Raw genomic sequence first — 24,607 nt, 5'->3', positions numbered from 1 at the left:
ATTTGTTGATATTATCCAGTCTTAGCCAGTTATCAAAATGGTCTTGAGAATTAGGAGGGGAAAGCATAATGTTATAAACATTTCAGCATATTGTGCAAGTAAAGTCCTGGTAGTCTGGGTAATTCTAGAACTCGAGTAGACTTGAAGTGATATCAGAGGAAAGCTATTACCCAAGTTTACTGCTTGCTAATCAGGCAGCCAGCAATAATGAGATGGTACAATAGAAATGTTCAAAGTAAGGTTTCTTGGCATACATAGCTATTTAATTATTTTATTTCTGAAAGAACTATAGCTCCACTGTTACCTAAGTTTAACCTTTAGGCATTTAATATAATAGTATCTCTAGTGTAACAGAGGGAATCAATTACTATGATAAACCATATCCTTTGTAAAAGAATACTATAATACCAAGAAAGGCTTTTGTCTTCATCTTTTTAGTTTTTGGTTATTTTTTGTTCCATTCCCTTTAGGTAAGAATAAGCATCTAGAATGCCTCATTATGAGATTGTTAATGAATATTTTCCATTGTAATTTAATAAGCCTAAAAATAAGAAGATACTCCTCTACTTTGTCATACAAGATCGTTGAATGGTGGGTCATTAGTTGATAGCAAAAAGTCACTCATTCTTAGTTATGTTTCTGATGACTTGAAAAATTGAGTGGCAGTATACAAAGTCTGAGCAAAACTGACTTCAGAATGAGTATTTGGCTTTGATTTCTCATGGCATCTTGCCCATTGAGCCATCTTTTCAGAGGTCTCAGCTGTATGAAAAAATAGTACTTTTTTTTTTCCAGAAACATGAAGTCTGGCAATCTTTATAACTTTGTGCAGCTTGTTGATTCCCGGATTCAATGGTGTTAGTGAAAAAGAAGTCTCAGGAGCTCCAGAGTCTCAGAAGAATGACAAGAAGACCCCTAATTCTTGCCTGTCTCTATATTTAGTATCCAAGTTGGGGATAAAAGCTAGTTTTTAAGATTTTCTGTTCAGAAATCTTTTCTATATACTATTCAGAGGCAGCCCTTTGTTTAAACCTTTTTTTGTCTCAGGCATGGATTAACTGCAATTGGATTCTATGTTAAAAATGTATTTTTTTGAACATTTTGTAGGCATCACTCCAGTATTTTCTATTGGTGAAATCCTGATCTTTTTCTGTGTAGAAATTTTTGTGACCTTCTTTTCTTTACTGAAGTTCCCACATTTCATGATCAATTGTCTTGGTCTGCATTTTTATCCATTGCCCTGGGCACGCAATAGACCTTTTCACTCCAGAGATATGAGTCCTTCAGTTCTGAAATGTTTGCTCTTATTCATTGATAATTTTATGCCCTCTATTTTCTCTGTTCTTTCTTCCTTGAATTCTCATTATCTTAGTTGGATCTCCTAGATCATATCCTTTAATTTCTTAATTGTTTTCTTCCTTTTTTGTCTTTTTGTTTTTTGGTCTTCTAGAAGATTTGTTCACACACATTTTTATTTTCCAACCTTACTATTAAAATGTTTATTTTGGTCATGATTTAAAAATAATTTAGCACTCTCATTCTCTCCTTTTTTTTTTTTTTTTTTTTTTTTTTTTTGAGACGGAGTCTTGCTCTGTCACCAGGCTGGAGTGCAGTGGCATAATCTTGGCTCACTGCAACCTCTGCCTCCCAGGTTCAAGCAATTCTCCTGCCTCAGCCTCCCGAGTAACTGGGACTACAGGAGCATGCCACCACACCCAGCTAATTTTTGTATTTTTAGTAGAGATGGGGTTTCACCATGTTGGCCAGGGTGATCTCGATCTCTTGACCTCATGATCCGCCCACCTCAGCCTCCCAAAGTGCTGGGATTACAGGCATGAGCCAACATGCCCAGCCTCATCCTCTCCTTTTTAATGGTATATGTTCTTATGTCAGAAGTGTGTTTTATCTAAGGTCACAGATTATTATCCTCTTGAGGTTTTCCTCTGTCTCTCTCTTTCCTGTAGATTTCTTTCTTCAGTTGATGTTTGCTTCTTCTAGTTTCTCTTCTTCATTATGGAGAGTTTCCTTAAGAGGCTGTTCATTCTTAGTTAAAAGCAAGACATATACAGGTGCATATGCACACACACACAAAACAAAGCAACAATGACAATGATGGCAAGAAACAATGTCAGAAGTTCTGTGATCATGGATAGGGCTCGTCAACTGTAGGGTTGCACTGTTGCATCATAGGTTGTTCAATCAAAGCCGGTGTGTTCTTTGAAATGTTTCCCCAAGGTCATGATTAGGGGGTACCCCACTTTCTGCCTGCGAGATTTGCGCCTGGGGCATATAACTGACTGCTAATGTCTGGGGAGCATGACAAATAAAAAAGTTGGGTTTCTTATTGCAAACTCTATAGGCTTTCAAATAAGCACCTATTTCGCAACCTGCAGCCTCTCCTAGTTTGCTACAGTGCCTAGTATCATCAGTTTCAAATCTCTCTAGCCGATTTCCTCCAAAAAAGAAAGACTCCGCTTCCAGTAGGTAAGGGAAGTAGTTAGTTTGGATCCAAAGGCTCCATATAATTTTAATACACTTTCAGCCCCTCGCTAAACTCCTGCCTTCCTTAATTCTGCTGCCTCCAAGCAGTAAGTCTTTCTGGATTCGGGAGAACACATTAGTCCACTTTCTCTTGGAATTTACTCTCCGTAACCATTTCCTCGATTATGCTAAGGCACTTCAGCTATTTTCTGATTTCAAAAAATCAGTAGAAATCTCTCCTTTGCTGATCTTGTTTCCTTTATTATTTGTGCCTTTGTGGGTGGGTGTGTTGTGTTTTTATTCCTTTACTTTCACTTCAGTGAAGTATCAGTAAAAGAGAAAGAAGATAAGCAGGCATGATTTCACCCTCTCTTACTGGAAATCCAGGGGAACGATAGCTGAGGAGGAAAGTAGCTTGGAAGAGCACCTTAGAGTAGAAAAAGACGGGAGAAGGTGAGTTTACAAAAGTACAGCAAGATGATGATGATGATAAATAAAACTCAATGCGTGCTCACTATGTATTTGCACTGTGCAAAGTTCTTTACATGGATTATTTATTTGTGTTTTTGTAAGAACACCTCAGGAAGTAGCTATTGAGACACAGAGAAGTAATATGACTTGTTTAGGTTAGTAAATGGTAGAGGTGGTATTCAAATTCAGATCTGATTTCAGAGACCATCCTCTCAACTGCCACACTATCTTGCCTCCTACAAATTGCTTAAGCAGGGATTTAAAATGAAACCGTACTTTTACAAAATCATTTTTCATGTCCATTATTTAGGAGTCTCTCTACTCTATCAAAAGTATTAATTGACCTATTTATTAATATCTTAGTAATGTAAAATGCTTTTAGGTTTGCAAATTAGTAAGAGAAACTTCTTCAGATTAATAGATGCTGTCTTTATGAGGACTGCATGAGACTTATGTACTCATCATTATATACACCCACAGACGATCTATTTGAATTCTGTACTCTTACTCTTTTGTTAAATAAATGTACTCTTTCTAACTATGTTTTAAATCATCTGCAAAGAGATGGAAGCTGTGTGTATACAACAGCAAACATCTGGAAGAAAAGAATATTCAGCCAAAGCTTGTTAAAGAGATTCATAAGCAAAGTATGCCTTTGAATTATGAAAATGAATTCATGTCCAACATCATAAAGAACTCTGACATGTCTGTTTATGTTTCAAACATGGCTTAGAGATCACTGAGATTAAAATTCAATTAAGTGTGCTCTGTTGTCTTTGCTGTCAATTTCAGTTAAACCAGACTTGTTTGGCAGTTTTGGGGAGAAAAATCTTCAGTGTTTTACCTTGCTAACATTTTACCATTTGGACTTTGTGTTTTTTCCCAATAAATGCATGTCATTTAAGGAGATGCTTCATGTTATACACACCTGGTGATTTTCATCAGCAGTTGTACAGATGAAAGAGAAGTAAAAGCCCCCAAATAATTCATCTTTTAGGCTTTGTAAAATTATCATTTTATAAATTTTTAAATTGTGAAATATAACAAAATTTAAGAAAGTATGTAAAATTTAAATTTTAAGTTTAACAAATTGTTCTAAAGTAAATACCTACTATGATCACCCCTCAGAAAGACCCTATAATTTCCTGTTTCATCCTCTCCAGATAGGTCACCACTATCTTGACTTTACTTTTACTTTTCCTACTTTTCTTTATGATTTACCACGTATGTATGCATGCCAAAACAACAGTTCAATTTAGTTTGTTTTGCATTTTATGTAAATGGACTCATCTTGTAGATACTCCTGTGTTTTGCTCCTTTTGTGCAATATTATAGTTGTAAAATTCATCAATGTTGTATGTAGCTGAGGATTGCACATCATAATATATATCATGATATATAGCATTCTGTTGTATAAAGGAACCACAATTTACTGTCCAATCTTCTTTCTTTATGCAGTTGAACATATCCAGTTTGGAAATATTATGAATAAAGATATTTCGAACACTTATGTGCGTGTATCTTGATGCACATAAGCGTACATTTTTGTGGGGGAATATACCTAGGAGTGGATTCATGGGTCATGCATATCTTTAACTTCAGCAGATAAGCAGAAAGCATTTGACAAAGTGGTTGAGAAGGTAATGAGAATTCCTGTTGCTCCACGTTCTAATAAAAAACACTTGGATTTTCTTTCTTTTTTTTCAAATGACAGGGCTCTATAATGGGATCATTGCATTTCTCTGATTACTAATGAGAGTGAGTACTCCTTCATATGTTTAGTAGATATTTGAATTGTATTTGTTTTTGTTGTTGTTGTAGCTCTTCATGAAAAGTACTTTCTAAACAGCATTTCTGAGCACCCTTTAGGGAGCCAAAGGCCAAATAAGTTAGAGTATTTGTCACAACATGGCAATAAGAGAGGCGAATTCATCCATTAATTGCTTGCCATATGCTTATCACTGGAATATATTTTGCAGCATCTCCTGACATCACTATTTATCCCTTTTACCAAAAAAAAAAAAAAAAAAAAGAAAAAGAAAAAAAAAACATGGCTACTGATAATACTTGGGAGCACTCAACGAAGGTCCCGTCTGAGACTCTGTAGAATATATTATAGAATGCAAATATTCTTTGGATTCCGTCTTGTTGTTGTTGTTGCTGTTTCCTACCCTACAACTTTTGGCATCTCTACCCAACATTTTTATAATACAGGACTGTCTCTGAGGTTTGTTTTCCTTATGGTTGTTCTCATGTATAAAAGAGATGATGATAGCGTTTCTCATGCCAGTATGTCTGTGTATGATTTATGTTGTAAACAGTGCAAAGAGCTTTACAGCCATTGTCTCACTAATCTTCAGAGCATCTTTTCGAAATAGAGAGGAGACAAGTGAATCAACATCCTCTATATCACGGGAGGAAACATATCTCCCTGTGGAGAGATGTCCACTGCTTTATCGACAAGGCACAAAGCTGCGAACAGAATTCAGGTTGTATTCTGACTCCTACACTAATGCCTATGGACTAGACATGGTGTAAAATTTTATATGCGTGAAACATGAGGTGTATTCATCAACTGATCACTATTAGCAACTGGCTAGAACATGAAGTGTTTGTTTGTTTTTCAAAAGAAAGATATGATGAAACTTTATATGCTTTTACACAGTTCTGATATTTTAACAATTTGACTAATTTTTATAGTTTTATTCCTTCCAGAAATTCCTTTAACTGTGCTTATCCCGTAAGTAATTGCTAATGTTCTTAAACTAATCGAGAAAATCATTTCTATTAGTCCCTAAATACCCAGACTTCATACCTTCTTGCTTCCCACTCTCCTCATATCTAATCTCTCCCTTAGGTTTAGCAACAAAATGTGCAGCTTGACGTGGTCAGTGGGTGTCTGAACATTTAGTGCTAGTGTTTCCTCTCATCTCTCTGCTTTTATTTGGACTTCTCAACTCTTAAAAGTAATTTTAACATATTATAAGAAATCTTTGAATTTATAACACTTTACAGTTTATGAAAGACTATATAAAGGTTCCTTCTCACAGGCTGTAAGGGGTACAAGGACAATGAAACTCAGATGACATCCTTAAATGCACTCTACTATTATATGGCTAATTTAAGATTAAAAATCTGGTTTCATAATTATTAGTCTAGTGGTCCTTTTATAGGCAGCATAATACAGTTGTAAGGAGTACAGACTGCCTGTTTTTGAATCACTGGTCCATGCTAACTAGCTGGCTTACCTTGGGCAAGTTACTTGAGGTTCTCTGTGCCTCAGTTTCCCCAGCTATCAAATAGATCTAAGAGTTGTGAAAATTCAATGAGTTGATACATATAAAAATACTTAAAGCAGTGCCTGTCCAACATAAATGCTTAATAAATGTTAGCCCTATTATCTTTCCTCATTATTTAGTGTTAAAGAGCAAGAACATCTATAAAAATAAAAATCAAATAATCCTTCAAAAATTCCTGAATATTATAAAACTAACATATAATGTCAACTAAAATTGATACCAATTAGTTTCCTTATCTTGAATGAAATCAGTATTGTAGTCAGAGCCAAGCTACTGACCTGGATTCACATATAACATTCAGTTTCTCTTCTGAAACTCCAGCTCACTTAGCACATTTATGCCAAAAACAACAACAACAACAACAACAAAAATGTATAAATTGCCTCATTTGTTTGAAGTGTAACACTCAGGTTTTCCATACAGCAGGAAACTCTGATAGAAGTATAGATTAATAGGCAAGGCATTGCTCCATTCCCTAAAGGCGTAATAAGGCTATTCCACAAATATGTATTGAACTTCTACACAGGTTTAAGAATTATGAGGAGGAGAGAAGATATTGTAATGAATCCCTACTATTCTGTTTATTTTTTATTTCTTTTTAACTTTTAAGTTCAGGGGTACATGTACAGATTTGTTACATAGGTAAACTTGTGTCATGGGGTTTGTAGTACAGATTATTTCATCACCCACATATTACACCTAATACCCATTAGTTGATTTTCCTGATCCTCTCACTCCTCCCACCCTCCACCCTCTGATAGGTCACAGTGTCTGTTGTTTCCCTCTATGTGTCCATGAGTTGTCATCATTTAGCTCCCACTTACAAGTGAGAACATGCAGTTCCTGTGTTAGTTTGCTAAGGATATTGGCCTCCAGCTCCATCAGTGTTCCTGGAAAGGACACTATCTCATTCTTTTTTATGGCTTCATAGTATTCCATGGTGTTTATGTACCACATTTGCTTTATCCTGTCTACTACTGTTGGGCATTTAGGTTGATTCTATGTCTTTGCTATTGTTAATGCTGCTGTAATGAACATACACATGCATGTGTCTTTATAATAGAATGATTTATATTCCTTTGGGCATATACCCAGAAATGAGATTGCTGGGTTGAATGCTAGTTCTGTTTTTAGGTCTTTGAGGAATTGCCACACTGTCTTCCACAATGGTTGAACTAATTTACACTCCCATCAACAGTGTATAAGTGTTCCTCTGAGTACCTGTTATTCCTTTGAAGAAAATACCTACACAACTAGATAATTAGAGAAGGAGAGAAAGAGAAAGAGAGAGAAGGATGGCACAATAATAAAGTGTTTTTTGGAGGCAAGGATGATGTTTTATGAATTTTTGTATTCCCAGAAAATAACAGATAAGTGGTTATTAGTGAATGAAGAAATGAATGAGTTAACTAATTGTAGCAGAAAAGGGAAAGATAAATATAAATAAAGGTCATCCATCTATTTAACAAACATGTATTGCATGCCTAGGAATTGTACTTGGCTTGAAGACTTTAAAGTAGATTAAGACAGTCCCAGACTTCAAGGACCAGCAACTGAGGGTGTTAAACAGAAAGGACAATGACATTACAACAAGCTGTGGGTTCACACATACCATTTCAAGACTAGAGAAGAGAAGAAAATCAGAGATTCTTCCAGAAATGAAAATTCTTGAGCTGGGGCTTTGAGGATGAGGAGAAGTTAGTTAGTTAGAAAGGAAAGATGAGTAAGGTTGGGGGTCAATAGTTCGAGCAAATATTGCAGTATGAAAGGTGTGAGAGAGCCTCAAACAGGTTACAGATTGTGGCACTATAGGTGATGGGGAAGGAGTGAGAGAGGTAACTACAGAGAAGTAACCTATTAGGAACTGCTAAGAAATGTTAGATATTATGCTAAAAAGCTTGGAATATTTTTTAAAGCATGGGGGCATCACTTGATGATCTTTCTCAAGGACAGGACTATTAATCTTAGGGTTTATTATATTCTTCAATTTTGACACAATTTATACTTCAATAATTCTCTGTAAGAATTTTTTTCCTTTGTGGTCTTATTTATTTATTGAGATAGGGTCTTGCTCTGTCACCCAGGCTGGAGAGCAGTGGCAATCATGGCTCATTGCAGCCTTGACCTCCCAGGCTCAAACGATCCTCCTGCCTCAGCCTCCCAAGTAGCTGGGACTATAAGCACGCACCACTGTGCCTGGCTAATTTTTAAAAATTTTTGTAGAGACAAGGTCTCCCTATGTTTTCTTGGCTGGTCTCGAACTCCTGGTCTCAAGCAATCATCCCACCTCAGCCTCCCAAAGTGCTGGGATGACAGGTGGGAGTCACCACATCTGGCCTTATTTTTTTAACGTATTTTTTAAAAACCCAAGAACAGGCATTTTCTGCGTAATGTGCCTGCATTTTGGCTTTGTATTTACTAATGCTTGAATTATTGCCTTAGCTATACATAATCAACTGAAGAAAAGTATTTAACTTTTAGCTACAGTGATTTCTCATATGGAAACTGTATACTTCTCAGGGATTGTGGAAATGTCCTTGGAAGTCTATGACCCCTCAAATTTGAGAAATGTTGATGTGGAGGTAGAATTGGAGTAGGCAGGGGAAAGACAGGTACCAGGAAAACCAGTTCAGAGCCTACTACAATAATCATATGAGAAACAAAGAGGGCTTGAACTAAGGGAGTTCAGATGAAAGAAGAATCTAATAGTTATTTATAGAGTAAAATAGACAGAACTTGGTGACTTCCAGGATTTTAGGCTTGAGAGAGGGAGGACTCAAGAATTGTACATGGGTTTCTGGTTTCAGTGATTAGATTTCTGGCATCTGCTGTCCATAAGATAGTAAAAACTGCAGATAGGGTAAATGCCAGTATTGGAAATATGAAGTTTGAGGTGTCTGTGCACATCCAGATAGAAATTTATGGAATGTGGAAGAGCAATGTAAGCTGGGGTTTTCAGCACAATGGTAGGTAGGTATTGTAGTTTTGGGGGTGAAGGTACTCACACAGGCAATGAGTAGACTAAAAAAACAAAAATATAGAGAAAGAAGAATCCAACAAAGAGATTGAGAAGTAGTGGCTGAGAAGTAGGCAGAAATTTAGGAGAGTGGTGTTCTCAACTCCAAGGTAGGAGAGAATTCCAAGATTGGAATTGTTAGAAAAATTTGATGGAGAAGGTATTCTTTGAACTGTGTGTGAATAGACAAAGAGCTCTGACAGAGCAGAAAGGAGGAGGTATGGATTCTGGGTGAGGAAATGTTATAAGCAGTCCCACAAAGAGTGACATCAGATTTATACAAGAAGCCAGAGCTTGACTGTAGTGGGCAGTACAGCATAGGGTGGAAAGCATAGACTCTGAAACCAACTCCTTAGGTTCAAATCTCAGCTCTCCACTTTTAGCTATGTGACCCTTGGCAGGTTATGTAACCTTCTAAAGCCTCGATTTTCTCCTGTGTAAAGTGGAGGCAGTGATAGTACATTGTTAATAGATTGTTTACTTTTTACTCTTCTGTATAGACGGACCCCTTGCAAAAGTCAGGGTGATTTTATATATACAACATCGTTATCAGCTACCTCTGAATACTTGATTCTTTTCCTTCTACAACCCCAACCTCCATTTGAAAAGTTCTCATTATTCTTTTTCTTACCTATTCTAAAAGTATCACTCAGTCCCCACTTCCTCCAGGGAGCTTTTCTGACGAGTATTCAGCTCTTACTTCTTAGACCTCCAGTAACATCTAATGTTTGTCAAGTACAATTAAGCACTTGCTTTTACAAAACTAATTGTGGGAGATTATTTCTAATGGTTTCATGTTTTTTAATCTTCTATCCCCAAGAAAGATTGTAAACTTCTTAAAGTCAAGATACATCTCCAGGGTATCCGCACATTTTGCCGTGCCTGGGACACTCAGTTTATGCCCATTGTCCTGATATAGTTTATATGAATTCATAATTTATAGTGTCCACTTTTGACTCTCTCAAGAGGGTAGTTGTTTGCATGATAAATTCCATGAACAACCTGGATATAATAATACATACTTTTTGAAATTAGTAACAAATATTTATTGAGTGGCTATAGCATATCTATTACAAAATAATAATAAGCAAGGGGGAGAAAACGAACTGTCAATAATTATGCCATTGAGAGATAATTTTTCTGTCTCTGTGTGTGAGAGTGTGTATGTAGAGAGAGAAGGAGTTTTACTAACAACAATGAGATTATACTGAAGGTAATATTTTATAATCTGCTTTTAAAATTTCACAGTATATTGCATCATGAACACTTTTCTTACCATTAAATACAATTCTCTATATAACATTTTAATGGCATTTCCTTACATGAATATACTACACTTAAGCAATTTTCTATTATTAAATATTTGAAGCTCTCCCCAGATTTCACATTATAAGCACTATTGTGATGAATATCTTTGTGTAGAGTCTTTATAGCAAGGCTGGGTTGTTTTCTTACTATATATTTCTAGAATTAGAATTGTCAAACTAAAGAATTGCCCAATATTTTAAAGATTTATTTTTGCTATTATTGTCATATTGCCCTGCAGAAAGTTTATATATACTTCATCAGCAGTCTCTATTTCTACATTATTTCCGTTGCTATATTTTATCATTTTAATTGTTCTCTTTATTTGATGAATCACATAGTATTTTGTTTTAATAAGAATTAATTTAGCTTCAAGAATATTAAAATCTGTTTTGTGTGTCTAATGGCAATTATACATATTTGCTTTTTATTATTTTATTATTTATTCGTGGGCTGATTTGTTTTTTCTTGTTGATTTTATTTTTATTTATTTTTTAGGAGACAGGTGTCTCACTTTGTTGCCCAGGCTGGTCTCAAACTCCTGGACTCAAGTGATCTGACTGCCTCTGCCTCTCGAAGTGCTGGGATTACAGGTGTGAGCCACCACCCCTGGCCTCTTATTGATTTTAGAGTGTTCTTTAGAGATTAAGAATATTAACTTTTCATTTATGTTTGTTTTTTACACTTTTTTGCCATTTATTCATTTCTATTTTTACTTTTACAGATACTCTATTTTAATAAATAGAAGTTTAAATAGTCCCTATGTAGCCTGTATGTTTATATTGTTTATATAGTCTCTATATAAATATATTTTATAAATCCTTAGCAATTCTTTTCCAACACCAATATTTTCTTCTAGTATTTAATCATTTTACATCATATATTTATATCTCTAATAATTATGGAATTTATTTTACTTTATTTCAGGGCTCTGATGTTCTTTTCCTAGATTTTCTAAATTGTCAGAATCCTAGGTATTACATAATCTATTATTTCCTTATTGGCTTGAAATGCCACTTCTACTGTTTATGGTTAGTTCCTTTTTTAATCTTTACATCCTATTTCTAGACAAAAAGCCCCATGTTATAATTATTATGGATTTTAAGAAATACATTTTAATATCTGGGAGAACATATTCCCTCTTAATCTTATTTTTTAGAATTTCCTGGGTTATTCTCACATCGTTGTGCTAAATTATACAAACAATCTACTTGTCAAGTCCCCCCCAAAAAAACCCATTAAGATTTTGATTGAAATTGCATTAAGTTGCTTATAAGCAGTTTATAAGTACTACAGAGCTCCTTATGATATCCCTGCCAACTACTTAAGAAACTCCTAGTTCTTAAATTACAAATATTCCCAGTCAAGAAAGGATCACCAGACATTTGAAAAAAGACAAAAAACCAAACCAAACAAAAAAACCAGTAGCCTAAACAAAAAGGAACTAATAAATAAACAGGACAAATTTATTTTCCTGAGACAATTTATCTTCTGCTTTCCAGAAGAAACAGAGACAATGAAAAGTGTGGGAAAAATTTGTCAATATTAAATTTTCAGAGATATTCAGGGGGAGAATATAACCATTAAGTATGATCTGATTTCCATAAATAGCAGAATACTGAATATATATGTATATATAAAGATTGGATAAAATGCAATTCAAGTAATATTCATTCTTGAATATTGAATTAAGCAAATATCTTAGAATATAGAGCAAAAAGCCAAGGATATAAAATATGATGGAAAAGTAAAAAAGATATGAAGAATGTGGTAGAAGTGGAGGAATGGGAAAGGATGTGGGAAAATAACAGAAAAAAAATCCTTGACCTGAAGAGTAATTCAAGTCCTCAGATTGAAAAGTTTCATCCAACACCGAACAAGGAAAAAAGGATACATATCTAGATGTGTATACACATGCTGATGAAAATTTTGGAATTCTAAGTATAAGAAATTAATCCTTCCAGAGAACAAAAAAAAAGGATCTTTCAAAGGTATCAAACTTCTCATCAGCAAGATTAGAAGTGAATGCAGACTAGGCAAGGTTTCAAAGTTCTCAGGAAGAAGAACTAGAACCCAAAATTGATAGTCAAACTATCAAGTGTTAAGACAAACTAAAGATGTATTTAAACATGGAAGGACTCAAGTTTACAACTTTACCTCCTACAGATTCTTCCTAATTAAAAGGAAGTATTACTCGAAGATATATTCAAGCAAAACAAAGCAACGGGAATCCTATACAGAAAACCTAGGATACAAAGAGCATTGGAACCAACCCAGATGTTTATGAAAATAAATCCCAGTATGACAACTGTGTAGTAGTAGGCCTAGAAAGCAGGCAGCCTAAGTTAGAGTCATCAGAAGGTTCCAGGAAAAATGCTTTCAAGAAGAAAGTAGACATCACATTTCGAATTGCATAATTAAGAGCCTTTTAACATTTTAGGGCAAAAGTAACTGCATTTAACTCATAGATTAATCTAAGACTTGATATCTTTATAATATTGACTCTTCCCATGTAGGAAACTAGATATATTCTTCAAGTTTTTAAAAATGTCCTTCAGTGATGTTTTGCAATAATATTTATACAAGAGTTTTACATTTTTCGTTGTTTATTTATACATATTTGATATGTTTTATTACTATTATGAATAGGATCATTTATCTATTTTCTAACTGGTATATAGAAAAAAACCTGTTGTGGATACATGCTTTATAATGTTTGACCTTTCTTATAAATCATAATGGTCTACCTTTTTTATACCTTTCAGTTGATTCTCCTGAATTTTGAGTTACAGAATTTTTATCTTAAAATAGAATGATTTCCTTCTCTCTTAAAAATATTTGTACAGCATATTTGGTTTTCTTGTTTGGTTGCTTACGTTAGAATTTTCTGAGCAACATTCAGTAATAGTGGAGACAGCTTCTTTTTGTTTCTGATTTCATTGTTAATTATAGATGTCGAAGAAAAGCTATTCATTACCATGAAAAGGAACTATTCTATTCTTATTGTACTGAGAGTGCTATTTTACTATCAACTCTTTAATAAGTGTGATATACTACTGTATTAGGCCATTCTCATGCTGCTGTGAAGAAATACCCTAGACTGGGTAATTTATAAAGAAAAGAGGTTTAATTGACTCACAGTTCTGCATGGCTGGGGAGACCTCAGGAAACTTATAATCATGGCAGAATGCACCTCTTTACAGGGCAGCAGGAGAGAGTAAGCACCAGCAGGGAAAATTCCAGAAGCTTATATAACCATCAGATCTTGTGAAACTCATTCATTATCATGAGAACAGCATGGGGGAAACTGCCCTATGATTCAATTATCTTCACCCAGTCCCTCCCGCAACACATGGGGATTATGGGGATTACAATTCAAGATGAGATTTTGGTTAGGGCATGGCCAAACCATATAATCTACATTAAGGACATTGTTAAGTGGCAGGATAAATGGTGTGGGCTCAACTTTATACTATAGAGGACCATTATAGCAATATCATAAAAGTAATACTTTGAGAGACTAAGCCAATAATAGGACAAATATAAATTTGAGGAAAAGATATACAAAACCATTTAGTAATTCAAGCATCTAGTGATAATTGTATAACCATATGGACAAAGGTAGAGAAAAATACCTATAGAAAGTTTGAACTTAAGAGATAGGTCAGGTAACAAACCCACTTTTTTTCTTTTTTTTTTTTACCTGATTACTTCCTGGTCATGAGGTTCAAAATATTTGATAGCAAAATGATTTAAAGTCCAAATTAATATTGAATTGAATATACACATTACAGCCAAAACCAGACCTATTTTTCTGTTGCTTATCATATATAATTATAGAAAGCATAACTGAACAACAGGAAGTTATTACTTCTTAAATATCAGAAAACATTTGACTTTCTCTTCTGAAATAAGGAACGGCAGTAACCGAATTCTAGTTACTGCTCTTAATAGTTTTGTAGTTCTCATAAAATATTGCTTATATATTATTTGGCTCCCACACTATCCATTTTGATGGTTTTAAATTTTTCAAATAAAAATAAATGAGTTTTCATACTATGGATGACTTGACATCAGTTAAAAGTGTAAATTCATACTTGAAGATAGCAGGACTCTATGCTCTTTCCTCATTGTTCTGGTCAAATACATTTCCAATCATGATAATCAATAATGTGACTATTAATTTTTACTTGAAGTTAATCTATTCATGTTTGATTAGAAGTGTCTAAAACATAAACTTGGGATGTCAATGAAGAACTTTTTAAAATTCTCCTCCACAATGGCTGATAATCAGGCCATGATTATATTTTGAAGATTTTACCTAGTTAGTCATATTTGGGGTAAGAATATATGCTATCTCCTTCATATTAATAGTTCAGATCTTTAATTATAACATGTTTCATGGTCTATAAGATTAAATTGAACATTAGGAAAGCTTAGCATTTCTCATTTGTGAGTCTTACATTCACACCTGTCAGGATTGGTACAGATTCAAGCTTGTTTTTAATAAACTTCAAAGAAGATCAAAACTAGGGATCATCTGTTTCATGTCTTTGACGTGATAGAAGTTTGGGGCCCCCGTTTTGCCCTGTAGCTTTTGCCTAAGGAGAAAGCCACCCTTTTCAGCTGATACTTGCTCCCACAGGTTTTTCACAGTTTTTGAGTAGCGAGTGGCAAGAAGCAATATGACGATGTTGGTAGGTAGAGAGATACTTCTTCACCATCTGGTGAGCATTCTGGAGAACAGAGACAAGTCCCACACTGTTAAAGGAGTGAAGTCATTTTGCAGCCAGTTTTAAGGATTGATTTAAGAACTCTAGGAGCAGGCCATTATGTAGTCATCCATTCAGCACGATTCTTCGTGGGACTGTTTACACTAGAAGGAACTGTAGTGATCAATTTAGCGTTGAGGAAACTGAGGGCTACAGAGTGCCAGGGTCACGTTCATCACACTTATTTGTGTTTCAAAGCAGAATCCACACTCCAAAATGTGCAACTACTGTCTTACTATGGAATTTACACTGACACATTCTGAGGTCATGCAGGAAATAGACCAGAGTAAAGCATTAGCAATTAGGTCAGTAGCTTGAGATAATGCAGGCTCTGAGGCAATCTTCACTTTCACTGACCACAGACTGGGATTGGGAACATGGGAAACGTGTGTGTGTACAGACACAGCAACCCTTTTCTATGTGTCATGTCTTCAGCTGAGTTTTAAGTTGTACTAGTGGAAGCCATAGCCTATGTTGGCTCATAGGTCCTAGTGCCCTTTCCCCTTCCCTTGCCTCTGCCCCTGCCCCTTTCCTTGCCTTGCCCCTGCCCCTGCCCATTCCCCTTCTCCTCTCCTCTCCTCTCCTCTCCTCTCCTCTCCCCTCCTCTCCCCTCCTTTCCTTTCCTTTCCTTGACACTGGGTAGAGTGTAATGCAATCATAGCTTACTGCAGCCTTGAACTTCCAGGGCTCAACCAGTCCTCCTGCCTCAGCCTCTGGGTAGCAAGGACAATAGGCACACACCATTATGCCCAGCTTATTATTATTATTATTATTATTATTAATTTTGTAGAGATGGGTCCTGCTATGTTGCCCAGGCTGGTCTCAAACTCCTGGCCTCAAGCAATTCTCTGGCCTCAGTCATGCAAAGTGTAGGGATTACAGGCATGAGCCATCTCTTCCAGCTCTAGTGCTATCTCTTTATAGGAATCAAAAATTTGTTTTGGCTATTTCAAATTTTGTAGAGTAAGAGGTCAATTAGAAAAGACTCAGTTATGTTTTCAAAAATGCACTGTGTGCATATGTGTGTAGAAATGTATTAGAATGAAATAACATTTTTTTACAGTGGCTACCATTGGTTTGTGAAATTATGCATGCTTTTTCTTAATTTTCTCTAATTTTTCTCTATTTCCTAAGATTTCTACCATGAGATTTTTCTCTTAATGTCTAGTTTTATTACATAGGTAATAGATAAATATATTCATGTCATAAAATATTTTTAAAATTCAGAATATGAGAAAGTCCTTTTTCATGCTCCTTAGTCTTGCTGTCTTTCTTGAAAGTATCCACTTAGTGATGGATACAATATGGTGTATATCTGCCTTAATCCATTTTGTGCTGCTCTAACAGAATACTTGAGACTAGGTAATTTATCATGAGCTGAAATTTATTGGCTCACAGTTCTGGAGGCTGGGAAATCTAAAATCAAGGTGCTGGCATCTGTTAAGGGTCCTTTTGTTGCATCACCACATGGCAGAAAGCAAAAGGGAGAGAGATAGACAGATTGGGAGAGAGAGAGGAAAGGGGACCAAACGTCTCACTCTTTTATAACAAACCTGCTCCAGTGATAACAGGATTAACCCTTACATCAGGGCAAAGCTCACATGACCTAACACCTCTTAGAAGTCCCAACTCTTGCTGGATGTGGTGGCTCACACCTGTAATCTCAGCACTTTGGGAGGCTGAGGTGGGTGGATCACTTGAGGTAAGGAGTTCGAGACCAACCTGCCTGAGCAACATGAAGAAACCCTATCAATACAAAAAAATACAACAAAATAGCTGGGCATGGTGGCATGTGCCTGTAGTTCCAGCTACTCTGGAAGCTGAGGTGGGAGAATCACCTGAGCTTGGGAAGCTGAGGCCACAGTGAGCTATGATCATGCCACTGCACTCTAACCTGGGTGTTGAAGTGAGACCCTGTCACCAAAAAAAAAAAAAAAAGAGTCCTACCTCTTAATACTGTTACAATGGCAATTAAACTTCAGCCTGAGTTTTGGATGGAACAAACATTCAAACCATAGCAGTATCTTTTCAGAATTTTTAACTGAATATTTATATATATGAACATTTAGAATTAGGGGTAATTTTTAAAAATCAAAAGTGATATACTACAGATGTTATTCTGTGATTGATCTTTGCACTTACTATGTTTTGGAGATTATTTTATTTTAGTACGTATAAATCTATACCAGTTTTCTTAAATTGCAGCATAGTATGTATATCAAGTTTATCCTTTAACTATTTTCTTACTGATGGCCTTTTTTAATATTGCAAACCATACTACACTAAACATTGTCGTGCATACTTCCTTGTGTATTACATTGGTTTTTAAATCAATGAACTAGTTGTAAACATGGAGAGAAACAACAAGGAGGGAGATGGATATAAGAGAAGAAGAGATTAAAGGGGATGGAATCAGTTGTTTCTGGAGCACAGAATATTCACCAAATTTGACCAGATGCGCGGTTGCTCATTTAGGAAAGAGCAACTGCACTGGGATGAAGAGGTTTTTTAGGAAATCAGAGGTCTTCAGAGAAGTTTTGGTTAAAATCTGCAGTATACACTACCAAAATGGTTTTTGTCTTTGTTGTTCTTATGCAAGAAAGACTAGCTCTTTTTATCTAGAGCTGGAAGGTTGCTGTCTTGGAGTGGGGGAGAAAGGAGACAAGTATCTGATGGGTGGGAATGGAAGGTGTGTATCCTTGCAGCAGACCTCCAGAGTAGCTGACTGACTGATATGCATGGTAGTCCTAAGATGTGTTTGAGAAAAGAAAATATTAGGAGCTCTTGACAAATCTTGAAAATCAATACAAAAATTAGCCAGGCGTGGTGGCGTGTGCCTGCAGTCCCAGCTACTCAGGGGGCTGATGCAGAGAATCCCTAGAACCTGAGAGGCAGAGGTTGCAGCGAGATCGCACCACTGCACTCCAGTCTGGGCAACAGAGTGAGACTCTGTCTCAAAAAAAAAAAAAAAAGAAGAAAAAAAAAATCAGTTGCCCATCCTGCAGATATACAGTATAGTGTAACTGCTTCAGCCGCTTGCAAATCTCTTTTACAATTCAAAACAAATTATGGAGAAATAAGAGTGAAATATTTTCCTGGAAAAATAATGTGAAAAATTGAAGTTTTAAATATCATAGTTAAATTGAATGTACCTTAGGGACAACTCCTTTATTTAAAACTCCAATTCTCCAATAACACACCTAATATTTGTTATTTTGTTGTTAAATATTTACTCTATGTAGACATTATGCTAAGAGTATAATGCCTTTTTAATATTCAGAAGAGCACTCTAAAAGCTATTACAGCTTTACAGACAAGAAACTTGAGACCAGAGAGAGGTTAAGTAACTTGACCAATTGTCATATAGCATTTAAGTGGCAGAGTTAGGATTTGAACCCAAGTTTTTATGTATTTAAAATTCTGGCTATTAACACCACACTGCAAAGAAACTTATTTAGTAGATAACAAGTTATATCCATATATTTTTAGATATCAATATATATGTTGTGGATCGGTAGCTTGGGGCACATTACTGCTTTGAATTGTGGTATCTTTTATTAGATATTGAAATACTGGATTATTGATAAGACCATGTAGCAGTGAGAAAAATAGTTTTTGCTTTGATTTGTGTCAGTTATACTATGTTGTTGGAGCTTTTGAAGTAGGGAGTGATCAGGTAGAGACAGGCAGAAGAGATTAGTTTGTATGTGTTATCCTGAAATCTGAGTTATTTGACATTTTTAAGGCAAGGCATTGATTGAGTTTTATGAAGATAAATTGGCAAAGAAAAGTAATCCCATCTGCTCAATAACAATTCTTTGCTTTTAGCCAAGAAAATTGATTTCAACTTGAGAGTAATAATCATATTTATCACACTTGTTAATTGCATGAACTGTATACAAATTGTCAGGCTTATTAAGGTAGATATTTACGGTCACTGGGCGTTCCTCACATTCCACATTTTCATTGTTATGGCATTAACTATTTTTTCTGTTTCTCTCTTTGTCACTGAAGACTTCACGTAGTATAATAGCCAGTATTTTCTGTGATTATATAGCAATATTCTCAAACCTAATTGTTCATACAAAGTACAAATCAGGGACTTTTTCTACTAGGTTCTGAAGTACTTGTTCTCTAGATTTAAACTCCAGTGTTGTACTAATGGGAGTAAGTTTTTCTTTTATCTGCCAAGGAGCTCCTCTTACATGTAAAAAACTGTTGTTTTTCCTCTTTGTAAATATCAGTGTAAAGTACACACTGTATAAAATGTAAATTACTGATGTGAGAGTGGCCATTTTATTCACATTGTTCAATGCCAAAGTGGGCCAAAGGATTCTGGCTCATTAACTTTAAGGAAACTATAGTATTCTTTTGTCTCTTTAGCCTTCCTTCTGGTTTATTCAAAGAATTCTCATCAGGTTGATCAAGAGTTGAAAAGTAAAGCACTGTTCTTAAAAACTGCTCTCTAGAAAGATCTGCAATGGTTTTGAGGACTGCCAAGCAACAGGAGGTAGAAAAATGGATAACTAAATAACCTCATTTACAGAAAATATGTTAGGTTAAATTGCATAGGAAAAGATAGTATGGGTCTTTAAAAAAAATGGATATTTATAACAAAGAAAGGATAAAATTAATAAGTAAGTTATAAGGAATATTTAGAAAAATAAAAACAGTATTCTAAAAGACAATACTTATATCTTTCTAATGTAAATCTTAGAAAATGGTGAGAATTTCTTGTATGCTTTATATTTATAAGAAGTAATAATAGCTTTTGAAATAATTCCATATTATAAGAAGTCTTTTCTTCATATGTACCCAATTCCAAATAAGTGGATGCTGGAAGAAAATCTGTAATTTATTTTATTTAAAAGAAATGCAGTATATTAATAAATACCTATTTTTTGGATAATAAAATAAGCAACATTTTCCAGAATGAGGTTTTTTTTTGCAACAAATGTGCATACCAATGATTTGAAGTATTTAAAAGAAACTTTTCTACTTGAAAGGAACCAAGATGACTAAGTACTAATTTTGCGGAATCTCCAATTGGGAGGATATCTACTGCTCAGAAAAGCAAACTAAAACAAGACAAGAAATTAAAATTGACAAAGGAGAAGTTCCATATAATCTAATTCAAAATCAAATGAGTTTTTCAAAGAAATAAGTTTCATCATGTAATCTAAGCCAAAATGAGCTGAAAATTTACACACAATTTCTTTTCTTTTTCTTTTTCTCTATTTCCCATTAGGTGGTTTCCATCCATGGAAACTAGTTACATGGCATTCCTACCATCCCATGCCCATGGTAGACATAATTAAGAAATTGTGTGTGTGTGTGTGTGTGTGTGTGTGTGTGTGTGTGTGTGTGTGTGTTTTGTAAGCTTTTTACTCCTTCTCAACAAAGCATTTCAAGGAGCCAACAGCAAATTAGAATTGAAACTCCATTATGTCTCTCAGGTCTTCTGATCAGCTCTTATTATACTTACTCTTAGTAAAATAATCTCTATTAATAGTGAGAAGTAAGGAACTATATGATATAATAAAAAGTGCTCTAAAGGAAGTCAGAACATTGTGTGGAAGTCCTGGTTCCACCATTAATGGTAAACTCTTTGAGGACTTCCAATTTCTCCAGGACTGGTTTTCAATCTGTATAATTAAGGGGTTTAGGCTAGACTCTCTTTTTATTTTTTGAAACAGTGTCTCACTCTGTCACCCAGGCTGGAATGAAGTGGTACGATCTTGGCTCACTACAACCTCTGCCTCCCTAGGTTGAAGCAATCCTTCCACCTCAGCCACCTAAGTAGCTGGGATTACAGGCATGCACCACCACGCCTAGTTATGTTTTCGTATTTTAGTAGAGATGAGGTTTCACCATGTTGGCCAGGCTGGTCTGGAACTCCTGGCCTCAAGCAATCTGCCTGCCTCGGCCTCCCAAAGTGCTAGGATTACAGGTGTGAGCCACCACACCTGGCCTAGACGCTTTCTAAAATTCTTTTCAGTTTCAACCTTCTATGGCTTTTGGATTCTTTTATTTCTTATACTTTCATATTACTGAATCTCATAACTCACTTTTTCCTCCATTTTATATTTTCAACTTTTCTAGTCTAGGGCTCTGCACAAGTTATTACTCTGCCCTTTTATTACTACTCCAAGGTAATTCATGTTATATGTAGATGTATATTAGCCATGACAATAAATCTACATACTGTATTATCATCTTTCCAGAATTTTTCAAAACAGAAAGTCTTTCTTGACTAATCATTTATTCCCCATATAATAGTATGAAGTTATTAACAAACGTTCCTTGAATTATGTGTGACAGAATTTGCTGGGAGCTTGAATCAGTATATTTGTTTAGGCTGCATATAACAGAAGGCTTCATTTAAAATAGCTTAAATAATAAGAGATTTATTGAATTATATAATAAGAAGGTAGTGATAGAATGATTCTAGTAGTACAAACATGCATCAAGAATCCAGATTCTTTCCTTCTTTCTAGTCACCCATCCTCAGCACAGTAGTTTTTGATCTCAGTTTTATCCTCTTATGGTCTCAAGATGACTACAGCAGCTCTAAGTATATTTATACAACTTCCTTTTCTTCTGTCACTTTTTAAGAAAGATAAAAACTTTACCAGAAGTTCCTTAACAGATTTCTTTCTCAGATCTGTATTAGAAACAAATTCATCATATGCTTATATCTAAGCCATTCATTGGCAAGAGAAATGCTATGAAATTGGCTGGGAAGTAATCATGGTTCATCCTGGTCCTGGGAGGGGCCTGATCTCCCTTGAAGCACCAACCGCCTGACACCTGAACAAATTCTAGTGGCTGCTGGGTAGGGAACAACAGTGTCTTTACAAGTTGGTGCATTATAAATACATTTCCATAATTTGAATCAAGCCTACCATCTCCTCCTCATCTCCAACCACCCGCCCCCCCCGCCCCCCACTTTATTTTCTGTATCTTCAGCAACTTCCAGAAACTTCTCATTCTTCCTTAAATACACATTTTTGTACCTGCCATATTTTGCATGCCCTCTTTTATCAGCCTGGAATGCACTTTGTCACCTTTGCAGCCTGGTAAAACCATCATTGTGCTCATATTTCAAGAACCACCTCAAATGTCTGCTCTTTAGATCTGAACCCTTCCTGAATTCCCCAGCTTAGCAGGTCAAGTGAGTTGTTCTCAGCTTTGTACTTCTGCTATAGATCAGCCCTCATCATTTTATAACTATGTATTGACCCATTTACTCCTGAGAATCCTGTAAGGATGGGACTCAGTTCCTTGGTATTTTGTTCTCAGAGAGATGATGCTTCATACTTACCAACTGTTCAATAAAGTTTGTTGAATTAATATAGTTAAAAGCAGATACCTTTCTGTTATAAGTTCAAAGCCTAGTGATTGAAGATTTTTCTTTACATTATTTAAATGTATTTATTTTGGTAAAATATTTAGAGCAAGTTTCATTCCATCTGTTCCATCTAAGCGATTCATGACCTGCATACATTCTAAATGACAGGAACCACAAGCAACTCAGTCAGCAGGCTTCAGAATCGGTCATCCTAAAAGATATTGCAGGTCAATGGCTAATACACTAACAAAGAAAGAGCTTATGCAAATAAGTAAGGAAAATACTGTTTCAATGTTAAATCATTAAAGACAAATTCAGACTACTCACAAAGAAGATCTATAAATGCCAAGTTAGAATAGTAAAACAGAAAACAAAAAAACAACATGAAGACCTCTGATTACATCTATAGTAATTAACATATCCATTTAACTCCTCTGCCTTCAGAAAACCATCAATGGATGTTTATAGGCATAAATGACAAGGACAAAGAAAGTGGGAAGGGAGATAACAGCAACAAAATTTTGGAAGCTGAAAAACAAGTATACAAGGGGTATACTTCCTGATGAATGTAAAACCGTCCCTAGACAAGGGGGGCCTAGGCAGGTTGAAGACTGAGTGCCATTCTGAAAACAGAGGGATTAAATAAACACTTATATATTTGTGTTCATGATAACACAAGGCTTTTTAAATTCTGTTTACCACTGTGTCTCCGGTGGCTAGAATAGAGGCTGCCAAATATAGATGCTCAAATATTTGTTGAATGAATTCCGAAGGTTGAAAGTCCCAACCTTCTTCCCCTAGTCAGCTTCCAACTATGCTTAAGCCTTCTGGACAGGAGATTGATATAACCTTTGGAGAATTCACCAACCCAAGAGAAAAAACCCAAAGATAATGGTGCAAGGTATTTCTGAATGAAACTGTTCAGTTGGATCATCAAAAAGTGGATGTAGTTGACAAATCTTACCTATGCAAACAGAGCTTCCAATCTGATTTTTAGTACTCTAGCCTTAAATATGAGTAGACAGATAAGATTTATCAAATACTTAGAAAAAGTAAGTGAAAGAAACCAAAACAAATGGAAAAAGACCAACTTCAAAGTACAGATGTTGGCCGGGCGCGGTGGCTCACGCCTGTAATCCCAACACTTCGGGAGGCCAAGGCGGGGGGATTACCTTAGGTCAGGAGTTCGAGACCAGCCTGGCCAATATGGTGAAACCCCGTCTCTACTAAAAATATAAAAAAATTAGCTGGGCGTGGTAGTAGGCAACTGTAATCCCAGCTACTCAGGAGGCTGAGGCAGGAGAATTGCTTGAACCCAGGAGATGGAGGTTGCAGTGAGCCAACATGGTCCCACTGCACTCCAGCCTGGGTGACAGAGTGAGACTCCATCTCAAAAAAAAAAAAAAAAAAAAAGAAGAGAAATAAAAAAGTACAGATGTTGCAGGAAGAAGGTATCATCAGAGAGAGGAGAAGAAATACACTTGATATTGTATTCATAAATATTAACATTGCTTCCACGAAACAAAAGCAGATGCTATGGAAAAAAAAAAAACAACTCAGAGAATAGGAAAAGAGCTCTTGGAAAGTAAAAACATGATAGAATAAGTTAAAAACTCAATAGAAGGGTTGAAAGGTAAATTGAGGACATCTCTATGGAAATGGAGCAAAAATACAAAAAGGTAGAAAATACAGAAGAAAAAGTGGGAAATCAGAGGACCAGTTCAGGAAATCTAACATCTAAAATCAGAAATTCTAGAAAAAAGAGAAAACTGCAGGAGGACAAAATTGAAGAAAAATTTCCAGAACTCATTAATTGGAGCATTTAGCACAATATAAAGTATTAAAAAAGAGACTTGTGACTTGTTCTAAGGATCATTATCGTATCGTATAGAAGGATCAAAAATCAAAAGGG

At 35.5% G+C, this 24,607-nt stretch overlaps 1 protein-coding gene across 26 annotated transcripts in view; it reads left to right on the top strand.

Moving 5' to 3' along the window:
- PDE4D (phosphodiesterase 4D) overlaps window positions 1-24,607 on the top strand; it is a 1,553,091-nt gene that overhangs the window by 1,426,337 nt on the left and 102,147 nt on the right. Inside the window, exon 6 of one of the 26 annotated variants that reach the window (NM_001364603.1) lies at window positions 4,667-4,710. The exons of 24 other annotated variants lie outside the window; for them this stretch is intronic. Coding sequence is in view for 1 of the 2 variants with exons in the window: in XM_047417301.1 (XP_047273257.1) it covers window positions 4,667-4,698 (32 nt within the window). In the remaining variant the exon portion in view is untranslated. Of the gene's footprint in view, window positions 1-4,666 lie in introns of all 26 variants that reach the window. One more of the 26 variants, XM_047417301.1, reaches the window with a different exon arrangement.

The sequence above is a fragment of the Homo sapiens genome, chromosome 5 (assembly GCF_000001405.40).
Source record: "Homo sapiens chromosome 5, GRCh38.p14 Primary Assembly".
Lineage (NCBI taxonomy): Eukaryota > Metazoa > Chordata > Mammalia > Primates > Hominidae > Homo > Homo sapiens.
The sequence above is the reverse complement of the archived record's forward strand: the minus strand, read 5'-3'. Positions and strand labels throughout refer to the sequence as shown.